Source organism: Homo sapiens, chromosome 1 (genome assembly GCF_000001405.40).
Source record: "Homo sapiens chromosome 1, GRCh38.p14 Primary Assembly".
NCBI classification, from domain to species: domain Eukaryota; kingdom Metazoa; phylum Chordata; class Mammalia; order Primates; family Hominidae; genus Homo; species Homo sapiens.
Genome location: NC_000001.11, coordinates 71,225,125 through 71,239,115, shown reverse-complemented (window position 1 = coordinate 71,239,115; position 13,991 = coordinate 71,225,125). Strand labels below are relative to the sequence as shown.

Below are 13,991 nucleotides of genomic sequence, written 5' to 3'. Positions count from 1 at the left end.
ACAAATTAACTTTGGAAGTGTAGGCATATGATGCCTTGATCTAGGCAAATACATGTGTTCGCATAAAAGGTGAAAATTTCTATTGGTAAAACTTGATGAATTTTCTGATTTTGGCTTATGTGAACATGAAAAGCATTAGGAATAAACAGAAAAATTCTATAATTATTAGTAGGGAGGTTTCAGAATATTTAAATGTAGATTAAATATAATATTTAATATGAAATATGTTATATTCCAATGTGCTATAATCTACTGTGAGTTGAGTCTTGTAGAATGGGACAATATAATATACAGAAATTTTTTCTACCTGAATTTGGGGGTTACAAAATATTCTGATGATTTTTGACCTTTATTTAGAGTTTTATCTGACTCTAATTGAAAAATTGGACTAATAAAATAATATTGAGCTAATAAATATTTGTATATATTCACTGTAATTTAATACCAATGTTACTGGAAATAAAAGATAAATGTTGACAAATGTCCATGGAAATTCAAAGTTAAAAAATAGTTTTAGGCTAAATCTCAAAGATTTGTCCTTTTTTTCTTCAAATTGTTTATCATTCCATATGAAATATTAGGTGTCTTTTGCCTGTATATTCTTTATAATTCTGTGAGAAAAGATAGAATTTATTTTACTTTTCAGATAGTCTTTCCTCTAAAATGCTGATAAGGGGAGTTGTGTAGGTAGTCACTTCTAGGGTACTTGAGGCAAGGGACAAAAATAGAGTAAGAAAAGACTTCTATCCTAGCATTTTGGGAGGCTGAGGCAGGTGGATCACCTGAGGTCGGGAGTCCGAGACCAGCCTGACCAACATGGAGAAACCCCGTCACTACTAAAAATACAAAATTAGCCAGGCATGGTGGCACATGCCTGTAATCCAAGCTACTCAGGAGGCTGAGGCAAGAGAATCACTTGAACCCAGGAGGCGGAGGTTGTGGTGAGCCGAAATCGTGCCATTGTACTCCAGCCTGGGCAACAAGAGCAAAAGTCCATCTCAAAAAAAAAAAAAAAAACAAAAGACTTCTAAATATAGGAGACAAAATGCTATTTGGTGTGACAATAAATAACCTCAAATCTACCAGAGGAAGGAGAAATCAGATTAAAAACTCTCAGTGCTAAAATAAAAACTTGGTTAAATTGAAAATAACAATATAGAATTGTTACCTGTTATTTAAAAAGAAAAGTAATAGTCTGCCCTGTAACTCAGGTGGCTTCATTAGCATGCTGCATCCCCAATTCTCATATAAAATACTAAAATCTCTACTTCTATCCCCTAGATTTGATCTTTATTACTATTTTTTAACAAAAGGGACTAAAGCCCCTTGGGAAGTGTGGCTGATTGCATATTAAAGGCAGTAGAACCCAGGATGAGACTGAAACATCTTACTGAAGTTAGAAGGCAGACTTTTATTTTTGGTTTTGTACCTATTTGTACCACTTAGATGTTTATTACTGTGTCTGCATATGTGTAAGTGTATAGTAATAAATAAGTAAATAACAAAATGTAAGTATTGCTTGTTATATAATAAAAGTCCATACTGTATAATAATAATCAGGTTGAAAGCACTGCTACTTTCATGTACTATGCCTTCTCACAGGCCTGCAGGAAGAAACTTACTTAACAGCAACCACTATGGCAAATATTATCAATGACTGGCATATAAAGTGAAAATTCTCTTTCTCTAAACAACTATTAACCACTTATTTAATTGTCCTTTTTCTTACTTCTGATGACCAAAGAAGTGGAAGGTGGGCTTCCTGGGTATCATCAACATACTTCCTCCTCCAGTCTTTTCACCTGCACAAGCTTCCTGTTCCTCTGGGATGCACAGACAGTTTGTAGTCTCTGGTATATTATCAACCATGTTATTGCCTCCCTTAGATACTCTTGAAGTTCACACACAGAATATCCATACCTTGCACACTAAGAAGATGAAAAACTCTTGATGTTATTTCCATTCGTGAACTCGTGGAAGAGCTTCCTGTTTATAAAAAGAAAATCAGAAGGTAAAAAACTCTTGGTGTTATTTCCATTGTTGAACTGGTAAAACAGCTTTCTGTTCTTAAAACAATCATAATTTATTGTAGTTACCTATTTCTGTGGTGTACATACTCCCATTAGGCTGACTGCAAGCTACCGACAGTTTTACAACTGGCTTCAAAATTCCTAATTAATCAACAAGCATCTCTGATAATGTGAGCTGGCTTCAACGTACCAATGGTCCTGCTTTCTTCATTTTAACTCATCTCAGCCTTTCTGTGTGGCTTTTTACTTGCCAAAAAAAAATCACATCTGGTTGCCTTGGGAAACATTATTCCATATAAATTGACAGAACCCACTCTCTTTGCCACTCCCTAAATTCTACTGTCAGTGTGCACACCCAGTGTTGGTAGCTGAGGCTGAAATTGCCAACCTGGCATTTTCTACTTTTTCAGGACAGTTTCATACATCATCTTTACCAGTGTTGATGGAAAGAAAATGAAATAGAAGAGAAGAGGAAAGAAGAGAAAGGAAAGGGAGACAGGATGAGAGAAAAGGAAAGGAAAAGGAAAGGAAGCAATATCATTCTCTCCTGTCTTTTACAAACTTACTACTTGCCTTGCGTTACAGTCATTTTTGTACATGGGTTATCATTTTTCTAGATGTTAAAAATGCTTTGGGTATTTAATCTGTAGCTCATATATTTCTATGTCTCCCACAGCACCTAACTAAATGTCTAGCTTATATAATGAGCCTCGATAAATATTTGTTGAAAAAATAGAATTTAAAAAGTAGAGTAAAAGAATTCACAAGTAAGAATGATTACATAGAAAAAGCTTATTTCAATATCAAGCCAAATAAATAAGTAATCAACATACTGATTTCCAGATTTAACTTGTTTGCCATCAGTTCTCCACCAAGGAAAGATAAGTTGATATTGCCAGCCTTTCATGAGCTTCCTCCTAACAGTAGGCTTATCGCCTTTGCACATTCCTATAGCAGAGAACATAGATCTGACTGCCTTAAGGTAATACCTTTGTGTTTCACTGAGATAGTCACTCTTAGCTGATAATAGATCCATTCTTTGTTGGAAGACTCGTGCTCAGTGTAATTTTTTTTCTTCCAGATAAAAAGGGTAGCCCCCATAGACATGTTCAGCATGGTGAATTAGAATTAGGATGTGTGTGTGCCCGTGTGTGTGTGTGTGTAAGAGGGGGAGTCTCAATGTGTTGTCCAGGTTGCACTTGAACTTTTAGTGTCAAGTGATCCTCCTGCCTCAGCCTCCCAACTACCTGGGGCTACAAGCACACACTACTGCACTTGGCCATGAATTTGGTTTTATTACTCTTATCATTAAGGTACTGTTAAGAGCTGTCTATTATTGATGAGATCAGTTGATTCAGTGCAGACAGTTCAGTGCTAAGTTCCTGAAAATATTTTGCAAGTTTAACTCAACTTAAAATTCTAAAAATTGTTAAGTAGAAATAAGCTATACTCTTAGAAAGCGAAGACTAATATAACTTTTTTGTTATTGTTCACTTGCTTAATGTAGCAGGTATAAATCTGAAGCAAAATTACATTTCATTATTGTCTGTAAATCATTTAATTTCAATTCTGAGTAGCTATTCCTATCAACTTAGTGAGAAATTCAACCTCAGTTATTTCTAGGCTTTTTCCCACCTTCAGGTTTGTGCTGAGGTTCTGGGTTTTACGCCATATCTAAGCATTAGGACATTAATCACTAGAGGTATCTGTCCACACTGGTAAAAGCTGAATTTTGCTGCAGCCATGTGATATCATCAGATTCACTGGTGTGCCATTTCCATGCCATGCTTTGTGCTTCAAGAGGATCTTGAACAAGCCTGAGAACCTAAGCTTGGCATCTAACCTACCTAGTTAACTATGTGAATATGCTCCCTGATGTCCTGCCACACTTTTGAGTGCTTCCAGGGAAGAAGTAAAAGTCCCTTCTGTTCAAGGACAGGCAGACCTGTCCCTTACCCCCAACCTGGAGAAAGCTCTTTTTCTCTTTTGAAACCTTCTGTCTTTCTTGGTTTCACACAGGGATACCAATTTCCTCTCTCTTCAAATTCTATCATCCTCAGTGGGCAAACAGAAGCCAGAAAATCCTGCCAAAAACCTTTCATCTGGTAAGGAAGTAGGGAACTTGTTATGTGCTCGAATGAAGGACAGAGGAGGTGGAAAATTCAAGAAGAAAAATTAACAACTCACAATTTCAATTAATATTTTAAAAAACTGTCTTTCAAATATCTTCCTTCTGCTTAGGAAGATCTGTATTTATGGATCTCATTCCTTCAAACTAAGTGGTCAAGCTCTCCTACCCTCTGATTACCTCCCTCAGCATACTAGCTTAGGTATATTTCTGTTCTTTCTATCTACTAGGTTTTTGCTCAACAAAGATAACATTCTGCTTAAATAAAGTAGGTAACTGCCTAATTAATATAACTTAAAGGATACTAGAAAGGCTCATTTCCATTCAAAGATGCTTGTTTCTCTGTTATTAGGTGACTTTAATGCTACCACTAGAAAACTGATGCTTTGGATTAAGGCATACCTACAGCGTACATAAAAATAATCCATGGATTCAACTACTCATTTAACAAACATTTATTAATCATGTGTGTGTGTGTGTGTGTGTGTGTGTGTGTGTGTGTGTGTGTGTGTGTGTGTGTATATATGTCAGGCACTGTGCTAGCCACAAGATATAGCACAACAAATAAGCATACATAGTTCTCCGTCTCTTGAAGTTTATAGTTTATTTGTGGAGACAGACATGTGAGTACTTATTCCTGAAATGATTAATTATAATTATAAGTGTCATGAAAAAGAAGTGAAGGTTAGCATGAGAATATATAACAAGGGGAACTTTCCTGAGAAAGCAGCATTAAAGCTAAAATCTAAAAGTACATGGAAAGGAAGAGAAGAGAGTTTTAAAGCAGAGAAAACAGAATGTCTGGAGGTCTTGGAATAAGAAGAATATTGTTTAACATTTTTAAACAAAACAAACTAAAACAATGACGAAGACTCAGATGGCTGAAACCTAGGGATAGAGGAGAATGCCTTAAGATGAGGTCAAAAGGTGACCCAGGAGCTAGAATACTCAGGGCTGTGTAAACCATAAGGAAGGTTTTGGTCTTGATCCAACCCCTAACCCCCAAATGTCTTAAGCAGAGGAATACATGATCAGGTTTCTATTTAACAATTCTGACTGCTGTGCAGAGGAAGGCAAAAACTGAATATGTAAAACATTATGCCATTATCAGCTATTAGCATTCTAGTCTCTTAAATTCTTTCCAACTAGCTGTTGATACAAGACTGTGTCATGAAAACCCTCAGACAGTTCTCTCACAGATCCACATCCTCACTGAATTGTAGCATTCACTATCACCCCCACCCGCACACTCCTGTTCTCATACTCTTTTACTTAAAAAGGTCTCTACCTGGCATGTCAGTTCCATCACCAGGATCCCCACTGTAATTACCTGGAGGTCTATAATTCCTCACATATTGGATATTAAAGCTTATCTCACCATTACCATTCATGCCTTGTGACCGTGGACTGGAGTAGTCCTGCCCTTGAACTCCATTCTAGGGGATGGAGCTTCGTTACCTGACAATAGGTTCACCTGATAATGCCTACCCTAATATTTCTGGTATTAGGGAGTGTTGACACACTCCCTAAACTCTACTTTTTTGCATCCTTACTGATGGAATTCAAGCCACTATCATTCAAGCTACTATCATTTCTCACCTCAATCGTTTCAACATTCTATTAATGCATTTTCCTTTTTGAAGTCTTTCTCCCAGGCTTTGGTCCACACTGAGGCAAGAAAGATCTTTCTAGACGAAAAATTTTGCCTTGTCATTCTCTTGCTTAAGACTCTTCCATGGTCTCACGTTTTTTAACAGACAAACTGAAAACTCCTCATATATCATACAAGGCCCCTCATAATTAAACCCCATTTACTTTTTTTTTTTTTTTCAGACAAGAGTCTCATTCTGTCACCCAGGCTGTAACGCAGTGGCGTGATCATGGCTCACTGCAGCCTGGAACTCCTGGGCTCTGGTGATCCTCTCACATCAGCCTCCTGGGGTAGCTGAGACTACAGGTATGAGTCATTGTGCCTGGCCCCCATTCACCTTTTCAGTCTCGTCTCACATACTCTTCCTTCGTACTTTATGCTCCAGTCATTTATTTAAGGACCTGATTGGGTGTTGCACCAGCTGGGGTGCTCACCTTATTAGAGCACATTAGAAATATCAGGCTCACTAACTTGGCTCTCCAACTCCTCGGTTGTTGTTGTTGTTGTTGTTTGTTTGTTTGTTTTTGAAACTGAATCTTGCCTGTCGCCCAGGCTAGAGTGCAATGGCACGATCTTAGCTCACTGCAACCTCTGTCTCCTGGGTTCAAGCGATTCTCTTGCATCAGCCTCTGCAGTAGCTGGGATTACAGGCGCCTGCCACCACGCTCAGCTAATTTTTGTATTTTTAGTAGAGACGTGGTTTCATCATGTTGGCTGGGCTGGTCTTGAATTCCTGACCTCATGATCTGCCCGTCTCGGCCTCCCAAAGTGCTGGGATTACAGGGACAAGCCACTGCGCCCGGCCCAACTCCTTGTTTAATGCAAAATGTACACTGATGTTGCTCCTGGAAAGGGAGTCAGCATTATCAAATGTAAATAAAAATATTCTCCCATCCCCTACACAAATTGATTTCTTAAGTAGTTCTGCAAAATATATTTAGAGTAACAGCTGAAAGTTGGCAGCAAGCTAAATTTCTAAACCCAAATAATATGTGGCATAGTGTTGTTTATCAGGGATGAGTCATTTATTTTATTATCTAAATTTTGCTTTTTTAGTACACCTCCCAAGAAGTTCTCTGGCTCAAAACACACGTAAACTGAAGAAAGAGAAGAAAATGGGGAACGTTTTGCTAAATAATTCCACAAAATAAACTCTGCTTTGACCCAGCTGAAGTGAATTACTAGGTGAATGTGTTTTGCATACAATTTTTCTTAATAGAAAAATCAATTTCTCCCTGGCCCCAAGAAATAAATATTGAATAAATAGTTGTTTAAATATCCTTTTTAAGGGGTGACAAAATGTTAGCTTGCCTTGCAGGCCCTCATTCTCAGCATGCTCACGCAAGCCCCTGTGGTTTTTCATACATACTTTCCTCTCCATGAAACAAGATACATTTCCCTCTTGCTATTGCCTATTCAGCTTAAATAGCACTCCTTTAAGGAGACCTTCCATCATTTATATATCAGGTAGGTTCCTCTCTATACTCTTCTATCTTTCTATACTTCTCCTATCATTATATTGTGTATCTGTCCTATTTATTGTATATTTGCTCTATTTGATTGTGTATCTGTTCTACTTGATTATATATTTACTCTGTTTTGTTCTGTTCTTCTAGACTTTAAGCTTCTGCCACAGGAAATTCTGCCTCTGTTTGCTTAAATATCCCAGGCACCTAGACCGGTGCCTGAAACATAGAAGTTCCTTAATAAATATTTGATGAATAAAAATGAATAAATGAATGAATAAATAAAATGGAGTAAAAAGTACTCCATGTTAGAGCTCTCTGACTCTTTGCTTGAACTGCCCCTTGTTATTTATCACCATGGCCACCTGTAACCATATTATGCTTGAAACTTATGTCTGTGAACTGAATTAATGCCATATCCCATTACAGCTGCTGTCACACATACCCAGGCACATGACAGTTGTAAACAATGAGATAGAAAAAGTAAATGCTAAGGCAATAGACACCATGAATTAATTTTCTCCTTTATATATTTTGTTTATGGCTAAACCTCCTCACATTTCTGTCTAGTTTTCATGGGGAGCCCTTAAGTCATTGGCAAACAATTCAATTAATGGAGCCTCAGTTCTGCAACTTCCTAAGGGCTACAGCTGGCAGGCTCCAGTGAATACAAAGCTACAAATAATGTCAGACTAAGTTAGGTGCCTGGGAAATTATTGGTATGCCATAAAATAAGAAAAGTTTGAAACAATCACTCCAGAGTTGTAACAAGTGTCTACTATATGGCAAGCATTGTGTTGTCTCCTACAAACACTATTTAATTTAATAAACTCAAAAATCTTAAAGGTAGGTGCAACTCTTCTATACCCATTCTACATACAAGAAAAGCGAGGCCCGGGGAAGTTAAATAAATTGTCTAAAGTCATCTGATTAGGGAATGGCAGAGCCAGAAACTCACATGGATCTAATTCCACAATACAATACTTTTTAAGAGAGCTTGTGTCCTTTTCCCAAAAATATCAAGTTTTAGAAGAAATTCAAACTAGTTTCAAAAACAAAAACAAATTAATAAGAAACATAATTAATCTTTCAGTTCATGATGCTATAATTCTTCATTTTGGGTTCTTTTCAAACAGCTGTTGCATGCCGTACTTTTGTGCTAAATAAAATTTTTTTAAACAGAAAAATGTCACATTCTATTTATATCTGAAATTAATTAAGAATGATTAGGAAGCATTAGGAAAATCTAAGCAAATGACTTTGAATGCATTCTATATATACGAAACCCAATAACTGAAAGATCTTGCCACCATTTTGGAAAGAAATGCACAAAAAATGCCCAACTATATGATCACTGATAATAGTTTTTCTTAAGGCATTTATAATATTATGGTTATGCATAAACAGTCCATTAATTATGGAAGATTTCCAGGGGAAAGAAGCTGGCACATTGGTTAAAGGGAAAAATAAATTTAGAAGATGCCGGAAATAATACTGACTAGCAGAAAGAATTATCGTGAGGGGGCAAAGAAAGAAGACAGTGACTGAAAGAAAATGAATTATGGTTGCCCTTCTTTCTGAAGACCTTGGAGAAGGATGTGGGGGCAACTGTTTTGGAAGAAGTAAGCATAAAACATGTTCTATGTTGACATAGCAACCTGCCACAAGAAACAAAGCCAGTGAAAGTGGAGTTGGTAAAGCTAACATTTCTTGAGCACGTGTATATGCCAGAGCCTGTGCTAGACTCTGTGCATGGCTCTTTACAAATTGAAAAAGAAGAATTCAAAATAAAAGACACAGTATTGTAGATCAAAACTACTGTCATTTTAATACGGGAGAAAAAATTGTTAAAAACCATTTAGAATTTTGCAAACAAAAAACAAGAAAATTGTGTGAACTGACTAGATTTCCAACATTCACATAGGATCATGAGAAATTGGAAAAAGTATATACCTTTGTTCTGACATCAAGGGCTATATAATTTATGAGGGAGTTAAATCTGACAAGTAAGCATAAAATATAGTAATAGTTCAGAGAAAGGAAACATTTATATAGCTTTTTGTGGTCAAATGATACAGGCAGCATTTGATCTGTAACTTAAAAGAAGTAGTAGAATTTGATGAATTTCTCTAGACCAAAGGCATAACATGAGCAAAGTAACACCAGGTGAACTTGAATGTGACTTATTAAAGACTGTAAGATTTGCCTGATTGGAATTAAGTACATATTCTGGGGAAAAGTGGGAAAGAGTAGACCTACAAATTGGAATGAGATTATGGCAAGCCTTAAAACATTTTATTAAATTGAAATATAAGGTACTTGAAGACCAGTTGATCTTTGCAGTCTCTGTCACTCCGCCTATCACACCAAAATCCAATGTGTAGCTACCCACCCAGGCATTGTTCTGCCCACATTCACTCCTAGTTCCCAATAGCTTCATGTATATCTGCTGTTTAGCAACCCCAACAAGGATTTTAAACAGGTACAGAGGAATTCTACATCTGCTATGTGGGGGGAAAAAAGTTGCCCTAAAGGAAGTTTCCTTTCCTAAGAACAGCATCCCGCTGCATGCTATCAAGCTCCTCAATGCAAAGCAGAAGCTTCCCCAGCCCTCCGTTCCTGATTCCTAGGGGAAGGCACGGGCTCCACTCCGTGTAGAGAGCACAGACGGTTAACATGAACAGTGAGTTTCATCAGCCTGCGATGTAAGATGTGACCTGGTAAGCACAGCTCACCCATAAATCCAGCCCATGGCTGTCATAATCCCCTCAGAAAGTCTCTGTAAATAGAGTGTTCTGTACAGGCAAAGCAGTTTTCTTTCTCACATTTAGTGAGGGGTGGAGGGCACCTTCTTCCAAAGGCAGAATAATGTGAATGTGAAAGGCCAGATTCCAGGATAACTCGGCACCCTTCCTGCCAACACAGCAAGCCGCCTCTGTCAAATGTGCTGTCTCACGTCAACAGTAGTAATTATGCGGGGAAAGGTGCTCCTTGTAGCTACTTGGGGCGGCTGTAGTAAAAGATACTGAAAACATGAGCACTGTTAGGCAGTGAATTTGTCACGCTAAGTAGGACAATGCCTAATGGTGATAAGAAAATGAAGCAAACACCTGATGTTAAATCTCTTTTATGGCATTTTCATAGAAATTGTAGGAACACCTATATGATCCCTAACCACAGGAAGGAATGTGAAAAGAAAAATGTAGTCTTTAGTGACATGGATTTTCATAGCTGGATGCACATTTGGGATCATTAATAACAACTCTCTTGCAGGTGAAGAAATTGAGACCTAGAAAAGTTAAGAGATTTGCCCCAAGCTCATATAGCTTTTAGAGGCAGAGCACAACTATTTGGACGATGTCCCAAATGTCTCATTTTTTCCAGTGATGCCATATGCTAGTAACAGCTAAGATTTGCAGTCCACGAAACAGTAGGATATATATTATCATGCTTCATCTTTACTGCAACCTGTGAGAGTAGTATTATTATCCCCTTCACACAGATCCAAAATCCAAGGCTCAGAGAGATTAACTGACGTGCCAAAATAGCTCATGGAAAAGGTTGGGCTCACACCTACATCTTTTGCCGAAGAGATGGAGTTGGTACGCAGTACCATGCTGCCTATCTTGCAGACAGAACCACACAGAAACCTCCTGTTTCTCCCATTGCATTGATACAGGAGAATGTAGCTATTGAAAAGAAGCAATTATCAACTACTTCATTCAACAAGCAGGTATTGAGGACCTACTGTATGCCAGACAATGATCTAGGTCACAGAGATACAGCAGTAAGAACAATAGACAAAGTCACTGCTCTCACAGTGACAGACAAGGAACAAAAGCAAAACATATAGGTGCAGGTGGTAATAAGTGCTATAAAAGAAAAAGAAAGTAATAAGAGGATAGAGAGTCTTTGGGATACTGATTATTAGTTACCCAATGGCTCTATCGGAACCTCAGCAAATCAGCATGCACAGATTTTATACGTAGTGATATATAAGCAATAGTAACAAGTTCAAGTTCATAGATCCTCAAGGGGTCCACGAGCTATGTTCACTGTTTCAAAAATAAATAATAAAATCTAAATTAAATATTTAGTAAAAAAAAACTCTAGATAATTCCTTTTTTAAAAAAATTAAGACAAATTATATCAACTCTGTGGAAACTCTATCTAGACATAATCACAAATCCTGATTAACAGATACACATGTCACAAAAATGAGGACCCCAATCATTAATGCAATTTTTCTGTTTTAAAAAAATGAATCTTTCCAAAAATCAGGCATTAAAGGGGGAATTGTTTAATGTAGTCATTGGCCATGATAAAATTGTAATTCAACATCTATCCTAGGACAAAACAGAGGATATCTTTTGGAAATAAGCTTCACCTGTTAGCATCAGGGCAAATCTCTCTGAAAAGAACCAAGGCACGTACTAATTACAGCTGGCTATGCTATCTGTATTACTCTCTTCTCACATTGCTATAAAGATACTACCTGAGACTGGGTAATTTACAAAGAAAGGAGGTTTAATTGACTCACAGTTCTGCATGGCTGGGGAGGCCTCAGGAAACTTACAATCATGGCGGAAGGTGAAGGGGAAGCAAAGTACCCTCTTCATAGTGGCAGAAGAGAGACAGTGAGTAGGAACTAAACCATCAGATCTCATGAGCACTGCCTCACTATCATGAGAACAGCATAGGGGAAGCCACTTCCATGATCCAATCACCTCCCACCAGGTCCCTCTCTTGACATGTGGGAATTACAATTGGAGATGAGATTTTGATGGGGACACAAAGCCAATCCATATCACTGTTCCCAGGAAAATCTGAGCAATCAGCAAAATATACATCCTTTATCGCCTCATAGAATCCTCCGCATTCTCATCATCACTTAGTTTCCCACCCCAGTGTTTCCTCAGGAGCAAAGTACCTCTCTGCAGTGCTGGCTTCCCATAGCCTACAGCTGTGGTTCCTTCTTAAGGCTGCTCTCTCCATTCTCAAGACCTTCCTGGGAGAATCAACTTGTCAACACCACATATGTTATATGTTAATGTATTTACTCTGAAAACAACCTGATGAAGTTAACACTACTTTTCTAATTTTGCAGATGAAGAATCAAGGTGTAGGGAGATTGATTAGGTATGCCCTAATCACACAGATAGTCTGTCCCTCCAAAGCAATATGCTAAGTGACTAGCTAATCTATGAAATTAATGGGTAAAATCTATATTTTTACATGATGTTGCATTATCAAGACAGCAACAGTAAGAATGTATGTATAAACTTTGCAAAGAAGTTCCTTGCTTATAAATTTTTGCACATTAAATATCATAATGCTAAGGAAACAAGAAAAAGAAAATATGAGTTCTCATCACTTTCAGAAAAATTGTGTAGCTGTATGTTTTTAAAAAAATTTAAAGTTTATAATGATTTAAGTTTGGTTAGTATGAAAAATAAAGTAGATGTCAACCTGTGTATTTGGGGTTCTTTTCCTGAGAATATTGTTATGTTTATTCTTCCCCTAAAAATAGAAGTACAGGTTATGACAGGCATGTTTATTGTTAAATAATAAAAAATAGATCGTATTTAAATTACACAACAGATTTGAGATAATTTGATACTGGTCCACATGATATGGCTAGAGAAATGTTTTGACATCTAGTACTGTCAAATTTTATTTCCCTAAATAGATTAATAATTGTTAATAATAGTTCTGGTAATGCAATTTTAGATCTTGTTTAATCCTCACAACTACAAGATAAGAATTATGATTCTCATTTTACATACGAGGTAACTTGGGCTCAGAGAAGTAAAATAAATTCCCAGGTGACAGGGTCAGCATTTAAATGCAGGTGGATCTCTCCCCAAAGCTTGTGCTCTTAAACACTCCAGGGCTTTTTATATGCCTCACTCTTACTATCAAAACCCAACTCTTACACAGAGTCTGACTTTATTCATCACCAAGCATTGTCAGGGGTTGTCCAAGACTAGACACAGACAAGTTTATCTTACAAATGAACAATAATACTGGATATTCAGCAAAAGGCACTCTCAGAAGAGATAAATTACTTAGACCCTCACTTTGACAATTCAAAAACATTTCAAGTATTAAATGTATTCTACCACTCATAAAGATGAAGATGAATCATATTCTTGACTTCATATTAAAGATTCTTTTTTGCACAATTTGTTCTAAAATTAATATGCCAATGATTCACAGCCCCTTATAATATCACCTTTGGCCTACCATTTTTTATCAATGTGTTATGATAAAAATTGTCTCTTCGGGTTAAGACACATTCATCTGGAGGAATGTTATTATGGTCTGCATAAATAGCACTTGGTTATTTTTAAAGGATTATTTTTTCCATCTGTACAAATCTACTCTTTGTTATCTTGAAACAGGTGACATTACCTACCAGAATTCCTAGCTGTAAGAGACTTATTTAGCCCCCATTCATGACCCTTTATTAATTGATCTGGATCTATTTTACCTCTTTAACAAGTTTTTCCTGACTGTTGCCTGACTGTTGTTTTAGTCACGCAAAAAATTATAAGACAAGATTTTAAAAAATACTGTACAGATTGCACACGGGGAAGCTGGCAGTCTTTCACACCATGTTCATTCTCTGCAGCACAAATCGTCACCACAATAAAGAGCCTAAAACAAAAGCCAAATGCTGCATAAGGAGTACTTTTCCTTCGGAAAAAATTCCA

General features: G+C 37.1%; 1 long non-coding RNA gene across 1 annotated transcript in view; it reads right to left on the bottom strand.

Moving 5' to 3' along the window:
• Positions 1-1,392: 1,392 nt before the first annotated feature.
• Positions 1,393-13,991, bottom strand: part of ZRANB2-DT (ZRANB2 divergent transcript) — a 156,400-nt gene continuing 143,801 nt past the window's right edge. The window contains exon 4 of the long non-coding RNA NR_046217.1: positions 1,393-1,986. This is a non-coding gene — a long non-coding RNA (ZRANB2 divergent transcript). The remainder of the gene's footprint in view (positions 1,987-13,991) is intronic.